Raw genomic sequence first — 24,911 nt, forward strand, 5'->3', positions numbered from 1 at the left:
CTTGGCTATTTCCCTTCTTCTGCTGGGTTTGGGTTTGGTTTATTCTTCTTTCTCTAGTTCCTTGAGGTGTGACTTTAGATTGTCTGTTTGTGCTCTTTCAGACTTTTTGATGTGGGCATTTAGGGCAGGAACTTTCCTGTTAGTTCTGCCTTTGCTGTATCCCAGAGGTTTTGATAGGTTGTGTCATTATTGTCATTCAGTTCAAATAATTTTTTAATTTCCATATTGATTTTTTTGATCCAATGCTCATTCAGGAGCAAATTATTTAATTTCCATGTATTTGCATGGTTTTGAAGGTTCCTTTTGGAGTTTATTTCCAGTTTTATTTCACTGTGGTCTGAGAGAGTGCTTGATATAATTTCAATTTTCTTAAATTTATTGAGGCTCGTTTTAAGGCCTATCATATGGTCTATCTTGGAGAAATTTCCATGGGCTGTTGAATAGAATGTGTATTGTGAGGTTGTTGGACGAAATGTTCTGCATATATCTGTTAAGCCCCTTTGTTCCAAGGTATACTTTAAATCCATTGTTTCTTTGCTGACTTTCTGTCAAGATGACCTGTCTAGTGCTGTCAGTGGAGTACTGAAATCCCCCACTATTATCGTGTTGCTGTCTATCTCATTTTTTAGATCTATTAGTAATTATTTTACAAATTTGGGTGCTCCAGTGTTAAATGCACATATGTTTAGGATTGTAATATTTTCCTGCTGGATGTCGTCTTTTACCATTATATACTGTCCCTCTTTGTCTCTTTTAACTGCTGTTGCTTTAAAGTTTGTTTTGTCTGATATAAGAATAGCTACCCCTGCTGCTATTGGTGTCCTTTTGCATGAAATACTTTTTTTCCACCCCTTTAAGTTTATATGAGTCCTTATGTGTTAGGTGAGTCTCCTGAAGGCAGCAGATAGTTCGTTGCTGAGTTTTTATTGATTCTGCAGTTCTGTATCTTTTAAGTGGAGCATTTAGGCCATTTACATTCAATGTTAGTATTGAAATGTGAGGTATCATTGCTTTCATCATGCTCTTTGTTGCCTGTGTACTTTGGTTTTTTTGTTTTAGCCTTTTAAGTTGTATTTTTGTTTTATAGATCCTGTGATTTATGCTTTAAAGAGGTTCTGCTCTGATGTGTTTCCACGATTTGTTTCAAGATTTAGAGCTCCTTTTAGCAGTTCTTGTAGTGCTGGTTTGGTAATGGCGAATTCTCTCAGCATTTGTTTGTCTGAAAACGACTGTATCTTTCCTTCATATATAATGCTTAGTTTTGCTGGATACAAAATTCTTAGCTGATAATTGTTTTGTTTGAGCAGGCTGAAGATAGGTCCCCAATCCCTTGAAGCCTGTAGGGTTTCTGCTGAGAAATCTGCTGTTAATCTGGTAGGTTTTCCTTTATAGGTTACCTGGTGCTTCTCTCTCACAGCTCTTAAGATTCTTTCCTTTGTCTTAACTTTGGATAACTTGATGACAATGTGCCTAGGTGAAGGTTTTTTTTTGTGATGAATTTCCCAGATGTTCTTTGTGCTTCTTGTATTTGGCTAAGTCTCTCGCAAGGCCAGGGTAAATTCCCTCGATTATTCCCCCAAATATGTCTCCCAGGCTTTTAGAATTCTCTTCTTCCTCAGGAACACTGATTATTCTTAGGTTTGGTCATTTAACATAATCTCAGACTTCTTGGAGGCTTTGTTCATATTTTCTTATTCTTTTTCTTTGTTGGATTGGATTAATTCGAAGACCTTGTCTTCAAGCTCTGAATTTCTTTCTCCTACTTGTTCAATTCTATTGCTGAAACTTTCCAGAGCATTTCAGATTTCTAAAAGTGTGTCCAAAGTTTCCTGAATTTTTAATTGTTTTTTCTTTAAGCTATCTATTTCCATGAATATTTCTCCCTTCACTTCTTGTATCATTTTATTTTTGGATTTCCTTGCATTGAGCTTCACCTTTCTCTGACCCCTCCCTGGGTTAGCTTAATAACAAGCTAATTAAGGTTAGCTTAGTAACTAACATCCTGAATTCCTTTTCAGGTAAATCAGGGACTTCTTTTTGGTTTGGATCCACCGCTGGTGAACTAATGTGATTTTTGGGGGTGTTGAAGAGGCTTGTTTTGTCATATTACCAGGGTTGGTTTTCCGGTTCCTTCTCATTTGGGTAGCCTCTGTCAGAGGGAAGGTCTAGGGCTGAAGGCTGTTGTTCAGATTCTTTTGTCTCACGGGGTGTTCCCTTGATATAGTACTCTCCCCCTTTTCCTATGAATGTGGCTTCCTCTGAGCTAAACTGTAATGACTATTGTCTCTCTTCTGGGCCTAGCCACCCAGCTAGTCTACCAGGCTCCAGGCTGGTACTGGGGTTGTCTGCATAGAGTCCTGTGATATGAACTGTCTATGGGTCTCTCAGTCACAAATACCAGCGGCTGTTCCAGTAGAGGTGGTAAAGGAGTGCAATGGACTCCATGAGGGTCCTTAGCTTTGGTGGTTGAATACTCTATTTCCCTGCTGGAAGGTGGCGCTTTCCAGAAAGCATCAGCTGTAGTATTGTGGAGAGGGACAGGTGTTGGGCGGGGCCCTAGAACTCCCAAATTTATACACCCTTTGTCTGCCACTACCAGGATGGGTAGGGAAGGAACTATCAGGTGGAGGTAGAGCTAGGCATGTCTGAGCTCAGACTCTCCTTGGGCAGGTCTTGCTGTGGCTGCTGTGGGGGATGGGGTGAGATTCCCAGGTCACTGGAGTTGTGTACCTACAAGGATTATGGCAGGGAAGTGGAAAGCCAGCAGTCACAGGCCTCACCCAGCTCCCACCCAAACTGAAGGGCCAGTTTCACTTCCACCGTGCCACCACCAACAGCCTGGAGTCTGTTTCCACCAGGTGGAGGGTGAGATGAGCTTGAAAACTTGCCTAAGGCTATCCGCCTCCCAGAGTATTTGGGGTGTCTCCCAGGTTTTGCAGTAGCAGTCCGCTTCCTTCAGAGGGTCTGTGGGTCCTCTCGGGATTGCAGGTTTGTTCTTGCTGTTGATCTGGAGCTAAAATTCACAATGCAAGCCTCCGCTTGCTGCTCTGTCCAGGGTGACAATCTAGTCCTGCCTCCCATCCACCATGATCCTAATGCCACTTCACCAGAGTTGAGAATTTCAGACACATGGAAATAGTTACCAAGTCTATTTGTTTTGTGTCCTCCTGGACAGGTACAAAGTAGTCCATTAACCTTATTAACTCTTGGATTTATGTATTTATATGTTTAGGCTGTTACTGATGTTCAAAGTGAAAGTGGCAGCTAAGCTTCCACATATATTATCTTCAAAAGCGAAACATAAAAAATGCTTGGTTTCTGCTAAAAGTAGATACGCACTTGCATCAATATATTTTTGAGTATATCATTTGCCACTCAGATAATGATAATTTCCTAGAAAAACATGATTTTTATATTCAAACCTATGAATTCAAGTTGTTTAACAATTTGTATGAGGCCATGGTTTTCTTGTAATACTGCAATAGCAACTTCAATTGAAAAATATTTTAAATACAGGTGGAAAGCCAAAAAGAATTCTTCAGTTACTTTCAAATAAATTATTCAATTGTGCATTTCCCAAATGCATACTTCTATAACAATTTAAATAAGCATCATACTAACAAATATCAAATATGAAATGGCTTTTTAAATGGAAGAAATTATTTCTTTTTCTAGGAATCCTAGTCACTTTGTATCTATATCTGACTGAGTGGATCCTTTAGTCATAATTTTACTGACATACATATATTAAATTATCTTGGAAAAAATGAACATTTTCATGCTTCTTAATGTGTAGTCATGTGATCACTTTAGTACAGCTTTCAGTTTGCCCAAGAGTACTGCTCTGGTTTTTCCCATAATTGGATCTCATCCAGTTAATGTATGACCCCTTTTAGCCCTTGTAATATCTGTTTCATAATGAGGAGGGGAAGAAAAAAAAAAGCTGTTGAAACTCTATCACACAGTAACTGTACCAAGAAGAGGAGGTGGTTGAATTTAATATGTAGCATTACTAACCAGTGATATGAAACATTCACTGTGAGCCTGCATTGCTGGGGTGCTAATTCCTTTACCTCTTGCAAGCATGTGAGAAAATAAAACTCAGGTTTTTACTACGTGGGATATGAGAAAGGGTCACAAATTACAGATTAATATGTATTTCATATCTCTTTTTTTTTCTATTAGTGCTATACAGTTGAGACCATGTAAATATGGATTGATTTAAACTACTTGAAAATCTGGCTATGCATTTTGTGAAATCAGACCATTTGTTTCTGGAGAGAAAACTATGTATGTAATACGATGAGCTTTACTTGGAGAGCTCCAATATTCTCATGTAATTTTCATGCAGGATAAATTAGCAAGCATCTTATAAAATAATAGAAAAAAGAATCATCTGGATATTTTTAATTTCAACTGAGCAAACGGAACTTTGACAGTGATTCTGAAAAAAGGGGCTTTGTTTTGTTTGTTTTAGTTTTTTGTGTGTTTTCAGATTCTCATCCATCTAGGCTTATCTTTAATCAGGAAATGGCTGTTGAATATCATTATAAGAAAATTGGAACTCGCATTGTATTATGACAAGAAAGAAATTTCTTCTTCTTTTAAATGAATTCAAATTTTTATGATCAAAATCATTATATATCAAGACACTGATATAACTTTTAAGCATGACTCCATAAACTTAGAAAATTTAGAGACAGTAGAAATGTTTCCACATAAATTATGAAACAAAATTCTACAGAAGTTTATGAAGGGTAAATAACAGAAAGATTCTGAAAAAATATAGACTTGCAAATTGGATATGAATTCAGAATAATAGCCCAGAATGAATGCCGAAAACTATTGAACAGTGACAAAGAATCATATGAAGAAAGATGGAAAAGAACCATAACTTAGGTTAAAGTAGAAAAGTTGTCTGATAAGACACAAAGAGCTTTCCTTAAATGTCTTCAAAAATTTGAAGAAAGAGAAATTAGATTGGAGTAGAGTTTCAAAGAGCAGACCATGGGCCAAAGTGTTAGGCCAAAAAAGGGATAGATTGTCCAATTATTTGAGCTATTTGTAAATGTAATGGGCTATAACAGTGGAGTTTAAGCAGAAGTTGTGCACTGTCACTTATGTTTTAAAATAATAATAAAAACAATTTCTGAGCCCCCACCACAAAATTTCCCATGTGGCGTCAGATGAGGAAGATGATTTCTAAGTTATTCAACTCACGCTTGTTCCTTCTATCTCCATAAACACTTCCTTTTACTTAATTTTTAAACCAAATACAATTGCCCTTTAAAATTGTATTTAGCTTTGATGACAAGATTTTAAATGTATTACATTTAGATTATGATTTAGCAGATAAGGAATACATACTTGAGTTTTTAGATCTTTGCAAAGGATGCCCTAAGATAAAATCATTTTAAATCAGACTACTGGCTATTTGTATAAAGATTGTTATTTCTTCACAAAAGCTAGGAACTTTGAAAATAATCTCATTGATTTCTCCCAAAACACACTAAAATATAATAAATGTAAGAATTGAAATGCAGTAATTATAAGAACATTTTTATTTTGGGGGTTGAATTTGTTTGAGGTAGTACTGGATGGTCTCAAAAAAAGAAAAAAATGCATGTATATTTTCATTGCAGCACTATTCACAATAGTAAAGACATGAAATCAACCTAACTTCCCATCAATTATTGACTGGATAAAGAAAATGTGGTATATATACACCATGGAATGCTATGCAGCCATAAAAAAGAACAAGGTCACGTCCTTTGCAGGAATATGGATGTAGCTGGAGGCCATTAGCCTTAGTAAACTAACACAGGAACAGAAAACCAAATGCTGCATGGTTTTTCTATACACGTAGAGGGGAATAACACACACTGGAGTCTATTAGAGGGTGAAGAGTGGCAGGAGGGAGAATCAAAAAATATAACTAATGTGTACTAGACTTAATACCCAGGTGATGAAATAATGTGTACAACAAACTCCCATGACACAAGTTTACCTATGTAACAAACCTGCATTTGTATATCTGAACTTAAAAGAACATTTTAAACAAAACAAAAAAGATAAACACACACAAAAACTAATAAAAATAAACATATTTTCATGTTCACAGTAATGCAGGATGCTTTCTACTTAGTTGAAATTTCAAGGTTGGTTTATTGTGGCAACTTCTTCCTTGAGTTAATTGTAGCATTGAATAAATTTTGAATCAGCTAGAGGAAAGTGCTACGTGTAAATAGAAATCCTGCTGTGTTTGATTGCTTGTGTCTCTGGAGATAAGGCACCATGGATATGCTCATCTTTGGCATGAATGGAGAGAAGCAAAGGTGTAATCAGCTAAATCCATTAGTAAGTTAGAGTAGGAGCAAAGTAAGAAGCAATGAAGGATTATGGGGGAAAGCAATGTGAAAAGAAAAGTGGATACATTCTAGATAATTTCTGAAGATACTGTCCAAAGAATTTTCTATTTTTTTTCTATGTGGGTCTTGAAGGCAAAGGAGTCAGAATTGACTGCTCAACAGCTAAACTGAAGCTACTGTCCTTTTCTGAAATGGAAAATTCAGAAAGGAACAAGTTGTTGCTTTTTTTAGTGGGGGGCTGGAGGGAGAACAGGATCAAATATGAACATGTGAATTTTTAGATGCTTATGAGGCATTTATGAGGATATGTCAAGTGAGATACATGAGTCTGGCACTTAGAAGAATTAGCTTGGCTGGAAGAAAAAATGGAGAAATGTCTATATTTACAAGGTATTTAAAGCAATGAAAAATAGAATTATCTAGGAGAGTTTAGAAAAAGATAAAAATGGATATTGACTTATAAAAAGATAGAAATAACATTAACATACATTTCTCCTATAGGAGTTTAATCATAGAGTAGGACATAAAATTTGCCCACATAATTTATTAACAAGAACTGAGCCTCTTAGCCAGATATTTCTGAATGGATCTAGAACAAGTCAATTCTAATATTTAGGACACTGCTTGGCAAGACTGAACAGATTGAAGAGTTAAGGGAACTAAGAGTGGAATGAAATATGGCCAAGCTGGATGGGGTTGGCACTGGAAGACACTGATGCAGCTGTGGTAACTAATAAATTTAGTCTAGTAGGCACACACATCCTTGCACAAATATAAGGATGGGTCAACAAATGAGGGTCAGGATTGTGTAACAGAAGTCAATAATAGGTTGTAATTGGTAGAGCACAGTAAGCAATGTTAAATTTGATGACTCATACAGCTGCAGATACATAGGAGGAGTCAATCCTTGAGTAACCTTCTCTAGATAGGAAGTAAGCTAGTATTGCTCTCCCTACTGACATCACACTAGCATGTTAAATTCTACATTTGCCTCATTGAATATCACATCCCTGTCTACTCTATTGTCTCCTCTTTCTTCATTAAGGATAGGCTTCTTGTTCCAGTCTACCAATCGTCCAAATTAATAACTTAAATGTAAATCAGTTCATATCATTCTTTTTATAAAACCCTTCCAAGGGCTTCCATCTGCACTTAAAATAAAATCTATGGCTTCAAGGGCTCTTAATGTTCAGGCCTTTGACCCCATTTTCCTGCTCATACCACTCTCTCTTATTACTTTCTGGCCAACTAGACTTTCATATTCTTAGAGGCAATAAAATCTCACCTTCGTAATTTTACTTACTTCTTGCACAGAAGGCTATTTATTTATTTATTTATTTTGAGACAGAGTCATGCTCTGTCGACCTGGCTGGAGCACAGTGGCGTGATCTCAGCTCACTGCAGCCTCCGCCTTCCAGGTTCAAGTGATTCTCCTGCCTCAGCCTCCCAACTAGCTGAAATTACAGGTGCCCACCACCACACCCAGCTAATTTTTGTATTTTTAATAGAGACGGGGTTTCACCATGATGGCCAAGCTGGTCCCGAACTCCTGACCTCAGGTGATCTGCCTGCCTTGGTCTCCCAAAGTGCTGGGATTACAGGAGTGAGACACTGCACCTGACCAAAGGCACTTTACTCTTTAGGCAGGTGCATCTGTTCCTTCAAGTTTCAGTATAAGTGTCACCTTATTGAATGGAACTTTCAGAACACCTTATTTAAAATAGTTTCCTTCTTTTTGTCCCTCAGCTCATTTCGTTATTTTTTTCCCCACGTAAGTTAGTGATTATATATTTGCTAATACATATTTACTAGCTAAGTATCTGCTCGTTGATTAGACTATAAACTCCACAAGGGCAAAAATTATGGCTTTTTGATTCATTATTAGACTCATGGTATTTGGCATATGGGATATTAACATTAGCAATATTTACTAAAGAAATGAATAAACACAGGGATGAATGAATGAATTAATGACTGAACAAGTACATAAATACATAAACAAATGAGAAAACCTCTCATTAGCATCTGGCTTTTTAGTACATGAACATAAGCCATCAGTAACAATAGTAGGGTTCAGGCTATCAACATCTTTCTACACCATGTGAAATTACAAAGAGTTGTTAATAGTCATACGCCAGTAAGTAAAATGTTATTACAACATCTGTTCTTGGATTTCAATGTGTTTTTGGATAGTTGATTTAGAGCCTTTTTTGGTACTGTTCTAGATTTTAAAATAGATTTGTAGATTTTAAATTATATTCCTGAGTATAGTTAATAAATTTTTACCTTAATTGATCTAGATATTGGATTCTAATTTTGTATACTTCTTGATCAACCAAACCATGAAGACTATTTAATTAGTTTACATCAGATAAAATATGATTTTAATTTTACAATTTACTAAATTTCTCTATTCCATCTAAAACTTAGAAAACTTATTTGTTCTCTTTATTCTAGCAAGTTACTGGATAATCCTAACTTTAGTCTGAGATTATTGCTAAAAAGCAAAACAAGCTGTGTCTGAACAACAGATCCCAAACTCTGTTATCAGTTTTTAAGCCTAGTTTTTACACATTTATATTAATGTCCAAAAGAAATGATTTAGGAAATGAGGCCAGTGTTTTGCTTTGGTGTTGATAATATTTGTTGAAAAGTTGTAAACCCTGCTAAAATCTGTGGTCTGGAGAAAAAAAATATACTAATTATTTTCATTTTAATATAAATTTTGTTTAAAGTCACAAATCATCATGACTTTTGCACACGTCAAGATAGGTCTGATATATAACAGGGACTTAGACAACATTAAATAATGAAAAAGAGTCATATCATGTTAAAATTCTAACAGTAATCCAAGTAGCCCTCATTGTACACAGTTTTATATGTACTGATTTTCGTTACCACACTTTAAGTCTATAATATCAGTACTTAAACAACATTGTTCAAATTTTAGTTACCACGGCATATTAACCATGAACAATCACACAAGATATAAAATTTGCTGCTAGCTCTTCAGGCCACAGATTACTATGTAAATAACAGATGCAACTCATGTTCAGCGGCCAATCACGTCATTTCTTTCAGAAAGGTGGGTGTTTTGTCACAATGCATCTGTTGCTCCGTTCACACAGAGATAGCTAAGCAAGTCATTGTGTTGTCTTCTTGTCTTCTAGTCACAAATCCATGCAACATTTTATAAAACAAATAATCAAAAGGAGGAACTGGATAAGGAAGATGTAATTTCAGCAAAGAAATGAAAAGTGATGATACTGGAAGTGAAATTTGAATAGATGGGGGTATAGAAGGCATGGTTGACTAAGAGAAGGAATGTTGACTACTGCATGTATGCAGTCAAGAGGAACTTAATGACGGTGAGCTTATCAATATAATGAAAAGGATAAGGATAAAATGATGATGACGTCCCAGAGGAAGTGATGCCAGCCAAAAAAAAAAAATTATATTAAGGGGATTCTCAACAAAACTTCATACCTTCAAAAATTCAAAAGATGAAATGTTAAAAGCTCATCTAACCTTGGGAAGAGTATGTTGGTTTGTTAAGGCATAGGAAAGACACTTACTGTTTGAAATTATATGACAAGAAGGAGGCAAACACCATTCAAACCACTCTCAACGAGATTTTTACAGTGAAATAAAACACAAATTCTCAATGTTTCTAAATGATTTAAATTACAGTGTTCTAAGAATATAAATTATATTATTTGTTTTCATTTCCCCTACATTTATAACAGATAATATCAGGAGAGGCCTTAATGTTCCGAAAAATAAAAACTTTAAAAATCATAGAACAATTGTAATTTTCTCATTGATAAGGAGATCACTTTGTACTGCCAGCTTTCACATCTTTTAAAAGTCCTACACTACCGTGAAAAGCAAGGACTGCTTGTACTAACTTCTTTACTTTATCTGAGTGAACAACAATCAAGTTCAATACATTTTACCAGGAAACAGGTACTACGTGGTTTCTAAATTACCTCTAATCATGTTTATGTAATAAAAAAGCCTACAGTTTTGATATGCCTTGGAACTTTTTAATAGACTAAAATTAAAGACAATCACTGCTACAAGATTTTCAATATGACCATTAATTGACCCTGCTACTGATCAAAATTGTGGGAATAATAAAGCATATGGAGTTTTCACTGATCACATATAATATATTGTAATTCACCACTGAAAAAAGTAATCTATGATGCATAATTTAAGCTTGGAAGATATATGCTGAAGTTATAATTTATTATTTTGAAGAAAAAAGACTCATCTATATTTTCACCCATCCCAAGAAAGATGTCATAATTTTTTGGGAAAGCTATAAATTATTATCATATCTCTGCAGATCATAAATAAATTAACTGCATTAAAATTTGCTCCCATAATAGCAGCAAGAAGATAAATTAATAATACATTTTAGTGTTAAAGAGGTACACATAAAGGCGTATATTAGCCTAAGATGAACCACAAACCAGAAAGCAGACCAGAAACATTCTATATAATCAGGGACTATGCTGGAAACAGAACACACTAAGATTGTTCAAGAGACTCTAATGAAGGGTTTGAAGAGAGTTAAAAAAAAATAGTGTGTTGAAGCAGCCAGAGATTAGCAAACATGAGAAGCCTTTATCACCTCTTGGCCTAAAGGGTTAAGGAAACGATGTGTTAATGAAGCCCAGGGAACTCTAGTGTGGAAAATAACTAACAGACAGGAGTTACAGTCCTGGAGGATTCAGCTGTTGCTGGAAATGTGGCTTAGAGCGGAAGAAAGAGGTCAGGAGATGCTCTGATCCGATCTCTTCCTTCTTTCCTCTGCAGTCTTTCACCAGTGGACCCCAAATCCACCACCAGTGAATCCCATTAGCCAAATCCCACTAGAATAAGCCAACAAGGGAAGTCAATGCAATCCATGAAGGTTGACTGCCTGAGGCCCTGAAGGGGACAGGAGGAGGAAGGAAGGAGTTTGATTCTGGAGATTACGGCAAAGAGAATAAGCAGAATAACCTAATAATAAGACCTTAGTAATGTACCTGTGTCTCACTGAATTATACCCCAGAAGCAAGACTGAAACACATCTCAAGATTTGAAAGTAAGCAGAAGTTTTAGTAAACTCAACTTGAATTCTGAAAAAGAAGCATTTTATTATAATAATGTTACAATATCAAGGAATTTAAGCTTCATTTTTCTATTTAATTGTACTTAATCCTTATTTTCCCACCTCATTTAAGCCATTACCTACCTGTATTTTGAGAAACTCTTAACCACTAACCTGGGAGTGGACAAAGATACAAACAAAATTATTCAAACATAGCATGGTATTACCCAGAGGAGTGAGTGCTTAATGCTGCCTGCCCAGTCAATGGATCTCATGAAGTGAGGCCATTAAAAGTGGACAAGTGTCCACTGTCCCCAGAACATTGAAGCAGCATGGGTAAAGGTGAGAGAGGAAGCAGGAAGTGGCATGATCCTTTTTTGAAACAGCAGGCATCTCTATATATGGGAGTACAGAGTAAGAAAGTGAGGTGATACTGGTTTGGAGAAGGGCAACCTTCTCTGAATAACTAGCCTCATGTGTCTTGAAAACAATCTTGGACTTTATAATTTAAGAAAAGAAATGGAGAAACACTAAAAACTGAGAATCAGGGGAGAACTAATTACTTTGAAAGCTTGCTCTGGCTGGGCACTGTGGCTCACGCCTGTATTCCCAGAATTTGGGGAGGCCAAGCCAGGCAGATCACCTGAGGTCAGGAGTTCGAGACCAGCTTGGCCAACATGGTGAAACACCATATCTACTAAAAATACAAAAATTAGCCGGGCATGGTGGGACATGCCTGTAATCCAGCTACTTTGGAGGCTGATGCAGGAGAATCGCTTGAACCTGGGAGGCAGAGGTTGCGGTGAGCTGAGATCGTACTACTGCACTTCAGCCTGGGCAACAAGAGCGAAACTCCGTCTTAAAAAAATCAAGAAAATGTTGGAACAATTTAATTCAGTATTAACTTGTTTCTTACTCTTGGGGAAACAAGAACAGGAAAAAAAATACAAACGGTGATTATATTGTTTACATAATTATAAATAATGCTTCCTACAAATGCTTTACAATGACATTTAATTAATAATTATAAAGATGACGCTATAAACATTGCACCGGACCAGCTATTTGGCAATGATTACAGCATGGTTCCTTGGGTATCCAGATAAAGCAGGTAAAACTGTGAAAAGAACATGGTTGCCATTTACAGCGACGTATTTGTATAAATCTGAGTGTTTTGACACATTGTGACTTTAAGACAAAGAAGAGAAATTGTGTGGTTACTAAACCTAATAGTAAGTGTCAGATCTGCAGCTCTTACTAGAAAAGAAATGCAAGAAATTCGCTGATTTATATAGACAAATCTCTGGAGAATACATGTGAGAATTAATTCTGAGGTGATAGAACAAAGAAGGAGAAATAATTTTAAATCAAGCTGAATTTATCAGCTCTGATGCGCTTACCGGGGAATCTGGCCACAAACAGTTATGAGTAGTTTGAATTATTTGCTAGTTTGGTTTGATTCAAAAGTGACCCACACTCAATACAGTTTAGATAGCAGATAGTTATTGTTATAATGTAGAGAAGGAATCCAAAGACTTTAGAGGTTGTGCACTGTTAAAAACATAAATATCTTTCCCTTCATCCAAGCCTTAAGAAAAAGTAATTGGTGAGGGATATATTGCCTTTTTTGAAATGTAATTTTGTGGAAACATTTTATAGACTAAGCATGCTGGCAGTGGACTCCACAGTTGATTTTAAGAACGAGAGATGTTGGTCATGCCAAGTAGTGATAAAATGTTAATTCCAGGTGAGACAAGTAATTATGATAGGCTGCAGTATAAGCCTACTCCACAGATTGGCCTGATTAACATACAAAAATTGGTTACAGAGTCTGCAGAGTCAAAAGAGATGGGCAATCCACAAAAATCTTCTTTGTTTTATTAAGAGAAAATTCACCTGGTAAAAAGAGGCCTGAGATGATGCATCAAAGTAGAGAATTGTTCCCCCCTCTCTCAATTTGCAGCTAGCCAATACTCAGGGCAGAGCTACTTGAATCAAACACCTTGAAGAAAGGCCCTGCAATCATATTCAAAGAGCATATTGTAGATTTTCCAACAAACGCCCCCCTGACTGGTCCTAATTTACCAGGGAATTCTCCATTGAGAGAAAGAAAACGCCTCAATTTTTCAGATATTATTGGGCCTTGGATTGAGGTAGTATTAATTCCTAAGAATCCAGAATGCCTCCACAGGCTCTCAGTCAGAGGGCAGTACTTCTTTTCTTTTTTTTTTGAGACGGAGTCTCGCTCTGTCGCCCAGGCTGGAGTGCCATGGCGGGATCTCGGCTCACTGCAAGCTCCACCTCCCGGGTTCACGCCATTCTCCCGCCTCAGCCTCCAGAGTAGCTGGGACTACAGGCACCCGCCACCGCGCCTGGCTAATTTTTTTTTTTTTTTTTTTTTTTTTGTATTTTTAGTAGAGACGAGGTTTCACTGTGGTCTCGATCTCCTGACCTCGTGATCCGCCCGCCTTGGCCTCCCGAAGTGCTGGGATTATAGGCGTGACCCACTGCGCCAGCCAGAGGGCAGTACTTCTGAGCATTATTTAATGATGGGCTTTTGATTTGAGCTCACATCATAGTAAGCTCATTGAGTTCTAAGACTCATTTCATGACTTCATACTGAATTCCTGAGTGTGTAGTTGAAATACATAATTTTCAGCAACTGGCAGAATCCTCATATTGGTTCTCTGGCTGATAGATTAAAGGCTATTATGTCAGACAAGACTAAGGGGAAGCACCTGAAACTCCTAGTCATTACCAAAACATTAAACCAAGTTCAATTCTGTGTACCTAGGGATAACACAGAGATTAATGCCATCATCAAAGACTTAAAAAACTCTCTGGTGGGGATTCCTATTACATCGCCATTAAACATTGCAGTTTAACCAGTGCAAGAGACAGATGAGTTTCAGAGAATGGCAGCAGATTATGGATTATTTTCAGTTTAATCAGATAGTGACTGCAATTGCAGTTGCTATTCCAAATGTTGGTCTTAAATGAATTAAAACAGGAATCGAGTAAGGATTATCAAATGAGCCAGAGGTGAGGACCTAGGTCATAAGAAACAAATGAAAAAGGGAAAGAGAGAAGCAATCTACTCCATTGTCTGATTCCTTTTTAACCCAAAATAACTAGAAAGAAAGCTTTTTGCTAGAGGGAAGGAGTGATTACATTCTGGGAGGGAATGGATACAAAAGAGAAGCTGGCAAGTGACTTTTATTGCAACTTCTATTCCAAATGTAGCATATTTCAAATATTTTCTCCCCCACTTTCTCTTTCTTCTCATTTATATATGTGTTATACTGCTTGTCATTGTCCCACGGGTTATTGAGGGTCTACTCATTATTTTAGCTCCTTTTTCTCACTGAGGAGTTTCAATTTGAATAATTACCACTGTGCTACACAATCACTATTGTGATCTCTTCTTCTGCACTGTCAATCTGTTAGGCATACCTAGTGAAGTTTTTATTTCACTTATTGTATTTTTTGTTCTAGAATCTGCATTTGGTTCATTTTAATAGTCTTCATGACTAGATTTAGATTCCTCATCTTTTCACTTAAGTTCATCTTTTTCTTTATATTTTAAACAAATTTTAACAAATGTTTTAATGCCTTTGCCTGCTAGAGGCTCAAATTTTACTATTTCTTCTCATGCCTAATAATTTTTAACTGTTTTCTGGTATCATGGATATATTGTAAGGAGTCTATTATTATCTTCATTTCAAGATAACAGGAATGTTTAATTTAGTTCTGAAAGGCAGTTTTGTACTGGCAGATGAGTTGGATCTTTTGGAGGCTTGTTTTCAGTTGTTTTCTAGAGTGGACTTTTAGTTTTAAGACTACCTTGTTTCTAACATGTGACCATTCTGAGGACTCACTTAAATATCTGGGTTGTTCAGTGTGTTCTCTCTACTCTGGGTCTTTGGGAATCTTACATCGGCCAACACAAGGATCTTTGTTCAGCTCGTAGACCCCTTACTAGTTATCTTTTGCCAGATCTCATCTTAACTCCTCCTGTTCATGCACAGTTAATATCTGAACAAAAAAAGTAGGGGACCCCTAGGCAGACTTCTGGATCACTTTCTGTGAACCACTGTCTTCCATTTGGTATCTTGCCCTGCAGTCTCCATCCATTTTAACAACCTCATTCTTTTTTTCTGTTGATATATTGCCTCAATACTCTGCAAAATACAGATAGAAGAATAAAGGCGATTACTGCCAGTACAATTATAAAGTTTTGAGCAGAAAAGGTTAAGAAAGGAACAGAAAATTCAAATATGCAAATATAGACATCATACAGTAAAAAAAGGAAATATGGATAGATGAGGTTTCTGGTATGTTTGTTACAAAGTAGGCAAAGAGCCAGAGACCTGAAGGAATGATGAGGCATAGCAGTTATATTGTTAGTTCTGTCATATAAAAGGATTCAGCTATATGCAATTTTCCCCTGTAATTGCCATAACTATAGATCAATATAGTTACAATGATATTAATTATAACTATTTTATTAATTTTTGGCAATAAAGTATTCTATGCTATTAAAACAAGAACATATAGACTTTTTTTTTTTTTTTTTTGAGACAGGATCTCACCGTGTTGCCCAGGCTGAAGTGTAGTGGTGCAATGGTGCGATCTTGGCCCACTGTAACCTTCGCTTCCCGGGCACAAGCTATCCTCCCACCTCAGCACCCTGAGTAGCTAGTACTACAGGCACATGCCGCTGTGCCTGGCTAATTTTTGTATTTTTTTTGTAGAGAAAGGGTGTTGCCATGTTGGCCAGGCTGGTCTCAAATTCCTGGGCTCAAGTGATTCACCTGCCTCAGCCTCTCAAAGTGATGGATTGCAGGTTTATTTTTATGTACTTAAAATATTTTAGAATGTTTACCCTATTAGTGTAATAGGTCAGACTCGGGGCACCAATTTTTAAAGTATTCTTGAATATTAATTTAGACTCATGATTTTAAGTTTAAATTGTATTAAGTACATATTTAAAATTCAAACATTTAAGAAAACATAAGGTTCATTTGTTATAAGCGCTCTGTCTTATTCTTAAATATTATTAAAATGCTTATAGATTTTTCTTGTGGTTTTGTTTATTATACAACTGAAATATTCTAAAAGAAAGTAGAATATAATAAACTTATATATGGAGCTTAAAATCTTTAGGTGAGTTTAATTAATTAAATTTATAGGTGAAGCCAAACATTAATCTGGGCTATATTTAAAGTTACTTTCAAAATTAGCTAGACTTACTTATAAATAAAATAAAATTGGAAAACTGACCTTAAAAATACAAGGAATAACATCAAATTATATATTTTAAAAAATAGTATCAAGTAGTTCATTTTTGTGCACATAATCTCTCATCAAGGACATTAAAAATTTGATCTACAATGCTTTACCTTCATGTACTTAAGAAAGCTTTAATTTTACATTTGTATGGTTAATTAATTTTGATGTCCTCTATTGAACACAAGATTCATGAAGGCAAAAACCCAGTTGGTTTCTGTTTTTTATTTAAGCCCAGTGGAGTGCTCTGAGTAGGCCCTCAAAATATATTTTTAGATATGGTGAATACATTCAAACAGCATTTTTTCATTAGCCAAAAAGACAGATATGAATCATCTTTATATCTAGGTAAATATAGATATAATATATGCATATGTGTGAGGAAAATATTCCATTTATTTCTCAGGTAAAATATATACCATAAAAACCTTCAGTCTTACAGCAAGATAGCTCCAGGTACTCTCTTCCAATCCAAGAGTATTTGACCATTCACGTCTTCCTTTATATATTTCTATGAGAAAGGGGGAGGGCCCTGGATTGAGAAATAATTGCTGGCATTAGTAAGTCTGTTGCAGAGGAGTGCAAGGCAAGAGGCCAGACTGAAGGTGATGGAGAGGACCAGCTGTAAAGGGAATATAATGAGAACGATGTGTAGACAGAATTGAGATTTCCTTTTCGTGTGTGTGTGTGTGTGTGTGTGTGTGTGTGTGTGTGTGTGAATGATAACAGTTTAGTCATATTAATATTCATTTAAAGAGAATGGCCTGTGCAAAGAGAAAGTATTAATGATGCATTGTCCACATGGAGTTGCTAGTATGGCATGAACACCAGAGGGATTAACCTTGCATATAGGAAGAGAAAATGCTGCCACTAAGACAAGAAAAGAAAAAAAAGGAAAGGAGAGAAGGATGAGAGTGGATGCAGATACATGCTGATGACATAGGGCACACTTGGGCAATGCAATTTCAGGCTTTCTTATTGCCCTTTCCTCTTTTCCAAATCCCCACTAGCCAAGTTCAAGTTTGCCTAAAATTCTGATTTTTAGATATAATACTGTGATTTCATCTCTCCAACTTTGAAAGGTAATTTTTTTTAGTCACTTTACTTTCGTTTGAACATTTATTACAAATATTCCTACTAAATTTTTTGAAAATGACTAGTTTAACTAATGACTATCAGAATCAAATGTAGTTTTAATAATATTTATATATATGTAAGTAATATATACACAAATATATTGATTAGTTAACAATTAACATATATATATAAATTTTGTCATAGGGAAAATTGTAAAGCAGCACAGAGACAAATAAAGCACATCAAATCAGAGTATGAGGCGAGCAGTGTCTATTATGGCTGACCTGTGTTTTCTGTTTGTCTAGCTGTTATTGATGATCAAAAAATATTTGCTCCATTCCTGAGATAGGAAGCAGCATCTTCTCCCAAGATAGGAAACAGTGTCTTGACAGCTTTTTAAGCTAGACAAGAAGACGGTGCAAAGTAATATATGCAAAAAGTGTGGAGTCAAGTGTATTGTAAAATGAAGTGCATAAATGTGAACAGTAAGTATGTGGTACAAAGAAACAGCAAAAATGATAGAAACATACAAATGCAATTTTTGTTTTATGTCTAATCCTTAGAATAGTATTTAGGAACTTTTAACAAATGCTCCATGCAATTTAAAGATTAATCTTACCTCACAATTTAAAGATTTCACAATGAAGCTAGTGACCCTGAGGCACCTTGTGACAAGCCAATGATTAGTACCTGAGTTTCTACTTTGCTTTTAGCCATTGATTCAGGCTGCCTCCCCCAGGACACCAAGATATTTCTAGGAAAACCACAGCTCACATTTGACTACTTTATTGATCATTAATCTTCCATTTTAAGTGTAAGGATCTGAAAGTAAATACTAATCACCTTTTCCTGGAAATATTAAAACTTTAAAGGTTCACACAGAAGGGGCTAGAATGACAGGGGAAAAACTATACATTAAAAAAAATGATTTGCAGGATGAGGCCCCAAGGATCCCAGAACATTATACTCTTTTTATATTCTCTATTCTGCTCTTACCCTATTTTATCATTCTCTATGATGAAATGGCATATAACCTTTCTAGTCATTTTCATTTGTAAATAGACTTATGTTAACATAAATTCATAAGGATATTTTAAGTCATGAGAAAAAAAGTGATCAAATCTCGTATTTAAAAAATGGAGTATTCCCCACTTCATGTAAATTCAATAAAAGCAGAGTGTTTCTGTCTTATTCATAGATTTATCCGCAGCATCTAATGTAGTACCTGACTCAAGATAAATGGTCAATAAATATTTGATGAATAAATGAATGAATGAACTATATTTCATCAAATCGAATCAATCAATACCATAAGCAATCAACTGTGTTACACATTAAAGAAACGCAAAAATGAGTATCCTACCTACTCTGTGGTGGTAACAGAAAGAGGATTCTTCGCTTGATCTGGGCCAAACGTCAGAGAAGTAATGAAAGAACATTCTTATGGAGATGGGAGATATGAAGTAGGAGACTGATGTTTAGCAGGCCACTTAACATACTTGAGACTCAGTTCCATGATTCGTTAAGTAGGAACCAATAAGCTGAGTATCACTGGCTCCCCATGAATATAAAAGGATGTATGTTATACTACTATTTCCAAGAACTTTCCTACAAAGTGTCTGTGACGGATTGAATTATTTTTCTCAACTTGTTACTCCCTTCTTTCCATACGAGGATTACATATCCCTTTCCCATTGGCATTGGTGACTTATTTTGGCCGATGAAATGGGAGTGTATGTGATACACTCCTCATACATAGGTACCTAATGGCAGAACTTGTAAAACGTAGGAAGTCTGTGCCCGTGTTCTTCTTCATGTCCCCTCTACCGTGTCCCAGCCAATGGCTATTCCTGCAGCCTAATTCTCAGAATAAAAAGTGAGGGGAAGCAAATCCTAACCTGACACACAACCAGAAGCAAAGACAGCAGCTGACCTGTAGCTGATGGTATCTGTAAACAATTTATTTATGTGAATAATAAATAGTTGTTGTAAACACTCAGTATTTTTAGCTTATTTGTAATGTAGCATGACCTCAAGAAAATCTGACTCATACAATCCCTTAACCACAAAAGCAAGTAATGTGTAAATGTGTATCCCTCTCCAAAAGGTCATAACTTAAACTGGATCATCAGAAGTCTGTAAGTTCTTTTTTTTTTTTTTTTCGAGACGGAGTTTCGCTCTTGTTGCCCAAGCTGGACTGCAGTGGCGCGAGCCTGGCTCACTGCAAACTCTGCCTTCCGGTTTCAAGCGATTCTCCTGCCTCAGCCTCCGGAGTAGCTGGGACTACAGGCACACACCACGCCCAGGTAATTTTTTGTATTTTTAGTAGAGACGGGGTTTCACCATGTTGGCCAGGATGGTCTTGATCTCTTGACCTCATGATCCGCCCACCTCGGCCTCCCAAAGTGCTGGGATTACAGGCGCGAGCCACCGCGCCCGGCCGAAGCCTGTAAGTTCTTAAAAATCTTTTAGTATCTAATTTTGCACTCCAGTTCATAGTATTTGTGTTTGTTTTATAAGCAGTGTTTCGAAATACTTACAACGAGGTAATGTTACTCTCTAGGAAGGTTTCAAACCACATGTACATGTGGCACATCACAGCACTTATGAGAAGCACAACGCTGTGAAACTTCAAATAAAATAAGGTTTTTGCTTTTGTTTCCTGTAGTAGAATAAGTCTATACTGACGCATTTAAAAAAAACTTTTTAAAATGTAAAACTTAAACATTTAATAATGTAAAACTTATGAGGTAGCTCGAGTTTTAAATATACGTATACTGAAAAAAATGTAGTTTACATACATAAACAGAGCTCAGCAGAGCTGATGTGTGTACATGTCAACATATGCATGGTTTAAGTGTGCATATTAATGTTAGTTATTTGGTTTTTATTTGGTTAATTATTTTGTTTTTTTATTTGGTTAATTATGATTTTTTAATCCCCAGAGAAAAACAGATCTTCAACAGTTTTTTGATGGAAATAAACAATTTCAAGTTGAGACAACACATCAGCTTCATGCATTCCTTCAGCTTGAAGTCAACTGGGCCTGGGTTGAATCTGGTTCTGTTTTGTTGTTGTTTCATTTTGTTTTTTAGCATTTGACTATGTACAGTCTCTATTTCTAAGTCTTGATTTCCTCATTTATAAAACAAAGCAACTAAATGATATCAAATACCCTTGTTTTGAAAATCAAAGAATAAGCACGGCACCCAAGACAACTTTTTGTATCACAGGCACACATGAATGCTTTTTTCCTTTTCCTTTTCTTATCATAAAAACCTATATTTTATGACTTTTACATTTATTCCTAGATGCTCTCATATGCATTATCTCATTTTTACAATAACATTATAAATATAAACACTGTTATGCTATTTTACAGATGAGAGACTTGAAGCACAGAAGGCTAAAACTACCTTTAACTTCTAAAGAAATTTTGTGAGAAGCATCTGAGACTCTTGACAGTTAAAATCCCTATCATTTCAGAAAGTGCAACTGGGGATCACATGTATTTTAAATAATTCTAGTTGAGAATAGTCAAAAGTCGCATTTATGAAGGAAGATTGACATTTTTAAGCTTCCCAATGATTTCATCAAGCTTATTTAGTACTCCTAGCCTCAGTTTCTTCACTTGCAAAATAAGAATACCAAAAACAGGAGCTTCGTGGATTAATTTTAAGAATTAAATGGGAAAATGTTTATCGACATTTTAGCACAAGCCTGCTTACAATAAACATTTTAAAAAGTTATCTATCTTAATAAATATCGATTATTTAAAATGAATATATTTTATTTGTGATTTTGTTTTTCTTGCTTTTTTATTTTTGACAAATCTGCCAGGTGTTCATGAACATTTATTGATCAATTTGAAGTCATCCCATTTCAGTTAAACAGATTTAACTGTATGTATGAAGATGGTAATGATAAATATAAGTAATCTCTAGATGGCACGATTGCAGATGATTTTCAGTTATTCTATTTGTTTATCAATATTTTATATTTTCTGGTAAAATGCATTTATTTTATATGAAGAAACATTATTATATATTAAAACAGACTTTTAATCAAGAAGGCTTAAAGAACTGCATGCAATGTTATAAGGCTCAAAGGTGGGTAATGCATATTCAAAATGCTCAAACTCAGTTTTGTCATATTGTAAGAAAATTGTCTTCATGATCATTTCAAATGTTTGACCAGCCTCCTTTTAGAATTTACTAGAGTGTCATTACTTTTGCTTCTTAACATGACCAATGAGTAGCTCTAAAGAGAAAAGGTGTTAGTTCTGTTCTGCCACTTTCTCATTTATTTCACATCTATTTTGTAGTATCTTTAATCCATATTTGATTGCAAGATTTTTTTTGATCACTTGTCAATTTTTGGAGCATTTATGCTTTTAAAATTTGAAAATATAACTCATAAATCCATACCACTAGGCACACAAAAATCATGTCACAATGTGCTTAAATGAACTAATACGTGAAAAAACCATTGTGGTTATCTTCCATTGTGAAATGCTCACTCATTTTGCCTTGAAGTATGTCACTGACCACAGAAGGCATGGAGTTATCTGTCAGAGTGTGATAAATAAAGTCAACACAAATATTTAGAATGCTTAATGCCCATCTAACTTTTTAAATTAATATGTGTATATATAAAATATTAATCCACAAATACGTTGTATATATATATATGAAAATCAGCAGATATCCTACTTACACTTTGAGATGTTATCATTTCACTTTGAAAAAATGCTGTAATAAATAATCATTTACTAATTAATAATCATTAATCATTTACATAGTAAATGAGGATACATACTGAAACAATATTACACAGCTTCCCATATGCACTCATAAAGTCAAATGAGGAAGACAGATGGTAAACAGTTCAGAAGAAGGAAAAAAGCAGAAGGAAATAAAAGAGTTTAACGAGGAAGCTCATTTAGACATGATGGGCAAAAATCTCTCAAAGAACTGGTGTTATGGCTCTTCTAAAAGATTAGATGCCATGAATCAGGGAACAGTAGGAATGAAGGCTTTGAGTTAGAAAAGAGGAAATTTTATTGTAAGGGACTGTCTAAATCCAATATGACTGTGGTGTAGTGAAAGAGGGGAACAGTTGAATGAGAAGAGGTGTGAGAGGTAGGCAGGAATTAATTATAACAGGCTTTTCAGCCATTGAACGGGTTTTGCATTTAATCTTCATGCAGTAGCAAGGGTTTTATATTGGCTGCATGGATAATAGATTAGATAAGCGAAAAGTAGAAGGCAGAAAACAAATTTGGAGTCCATCTCTGTAAAGCAGGGAGGAGATGATGATTGTTTGAATGAAGGAATAGCATTGAGGATGCAGAAGAGCAGGTGAATTCAAAGCATGTTCTGAGGACTGAACATTCAGGACTTGCTGATAGATTAGATGTATGGTATAAGGAAAAGGGAAGCATCAGGATAGACTCCAAAACTTTTTGCCTGAGCAACTGGTAGATGGTAAAGGCATCTATATCTATTGGGATGAGGAAAATTGGGGAAGAAGTGTGCTTGAGAGAGTAAATCAAGAGTATCCTTTCAACCAGATTGGGCTAGTGCCTTGGTGATGTAATGTAATGTTCAAAAGGGAAATTCAAGTTTCTATCTTTTGTAATTGGATGAGTGGTGGCATGATTTACTGAGATGGGAAATAAGAAAGAAACAGATTCGTTCTTACTCTAAATTGGTGGAATTATCAGATCTCTATTTCCAAGGCATATTCAAGAGGCATTTAAGATGAGAGGCTGAATATGAATTTGGGACTGCAAGTTTGGCATGCAAAGGAGAGATCTGGGATCTGGATATATTCATTTTAGAGTTAAAATACTGTTATTTAAAGCAAGGGGTATGGAACCTGGGGAAAGAAATGTAGAGACAGAAGAAAACCTGGTAGCAAGATAGTAGCAAACTCCGTGTTTCCAAAGAAAAATTTTTAAAGTTCCATTCTAGTATTCATGTCTCATAGAAAAAAAAATCTTAAAATAAACTATAATGGTTTTAAATAAACTCCAGCTTGCTGGTATAGCTTAATGATGTATGAAAGTATGCATTCTCCAAATCACATACAGATGCCCCTCGGCCTAGATTGGGGTTACATCCTGATTAACTCATCATAAATTGAAAATATTGTAACAGAAAAACGCATTTAATTCACCTACCAAACATCATAGCTTAGACCAGCCTACCTTAAACATGCTGAGAACATTTACATTAGTCTATAGCTGGACAAAAACATTTTAGCAGAAAGCCTATTTTATAACAAGGGGTTGAATGTCTCACATAATTTATTGAATACTGTACTGAAAGTGAAAAATAGAAGTGTAGTTTTTACTGAATGCACACTGTTTTCAAACCATTCCTAAAGTCAAAAAATCAAAAGTCAAACCACTATGAAAAGTGGGAGACTGTCTATATACAGTTTGAAAACTTTTGGCTACTTTTCAGAGTCTAGGTCACTCAGTTGCCTGATACTTTGTAACACTATTTCTCTGTTTCTTACTGTATTCAAATTATTGTTTTTGAAAAATGATTTTATTCACTACAAAACCTCTGCTAGCTGTGGTTAATTACTACTCTACCTTTTTGTGTACCTGTCTCTTCTGCAGGGTATGGAAAATTAAAAACTATACTTCTCAATTTCCCTTGTAACCATGATAGGCAATGCAAATTCAGTTCTTTCAATTAGATGCACCAAAAGACTGAAAACAACTTACCATTATTGGCTATTTTCTGTTGTCAAGTCATGGAGATGCCAGAGTTAGCCTTGTGGAAGTTGAGAGACCTTGATGACGGTCACAAGTCCTGGCATACCAGAGTCTAGTCTGTACTCTCTTGGATGTTAATTGCATTTTAGCTGTGACCAGACTCTGTTTCCAGGGTATAAGCTTCTCTTGGGGAGGGAGCCTGATTCTGGCTTCCTGATCCCTGCATCACAGCCAAGTTAATATATTCTCGCATTCAATAGTTGCAGTTTCAACTCCTGATTCTCCATCTTCCTGCCTGTGTTAGAAAGTAGTAGTTCACCTGGCAAATGAGTGCCACAGTGTTCTG

This window comes from Homo sapiens, chromosome 1, assembly GCF_000001405.40.
Source record: "Homo sapiens chromosome 1, GRCh38.p14 Primary Assembly".
NCBI lineage: Eukaryota > Metazoa > Chordata > Mammalia > Primates > Hominidae > Homo > Homo sapiens.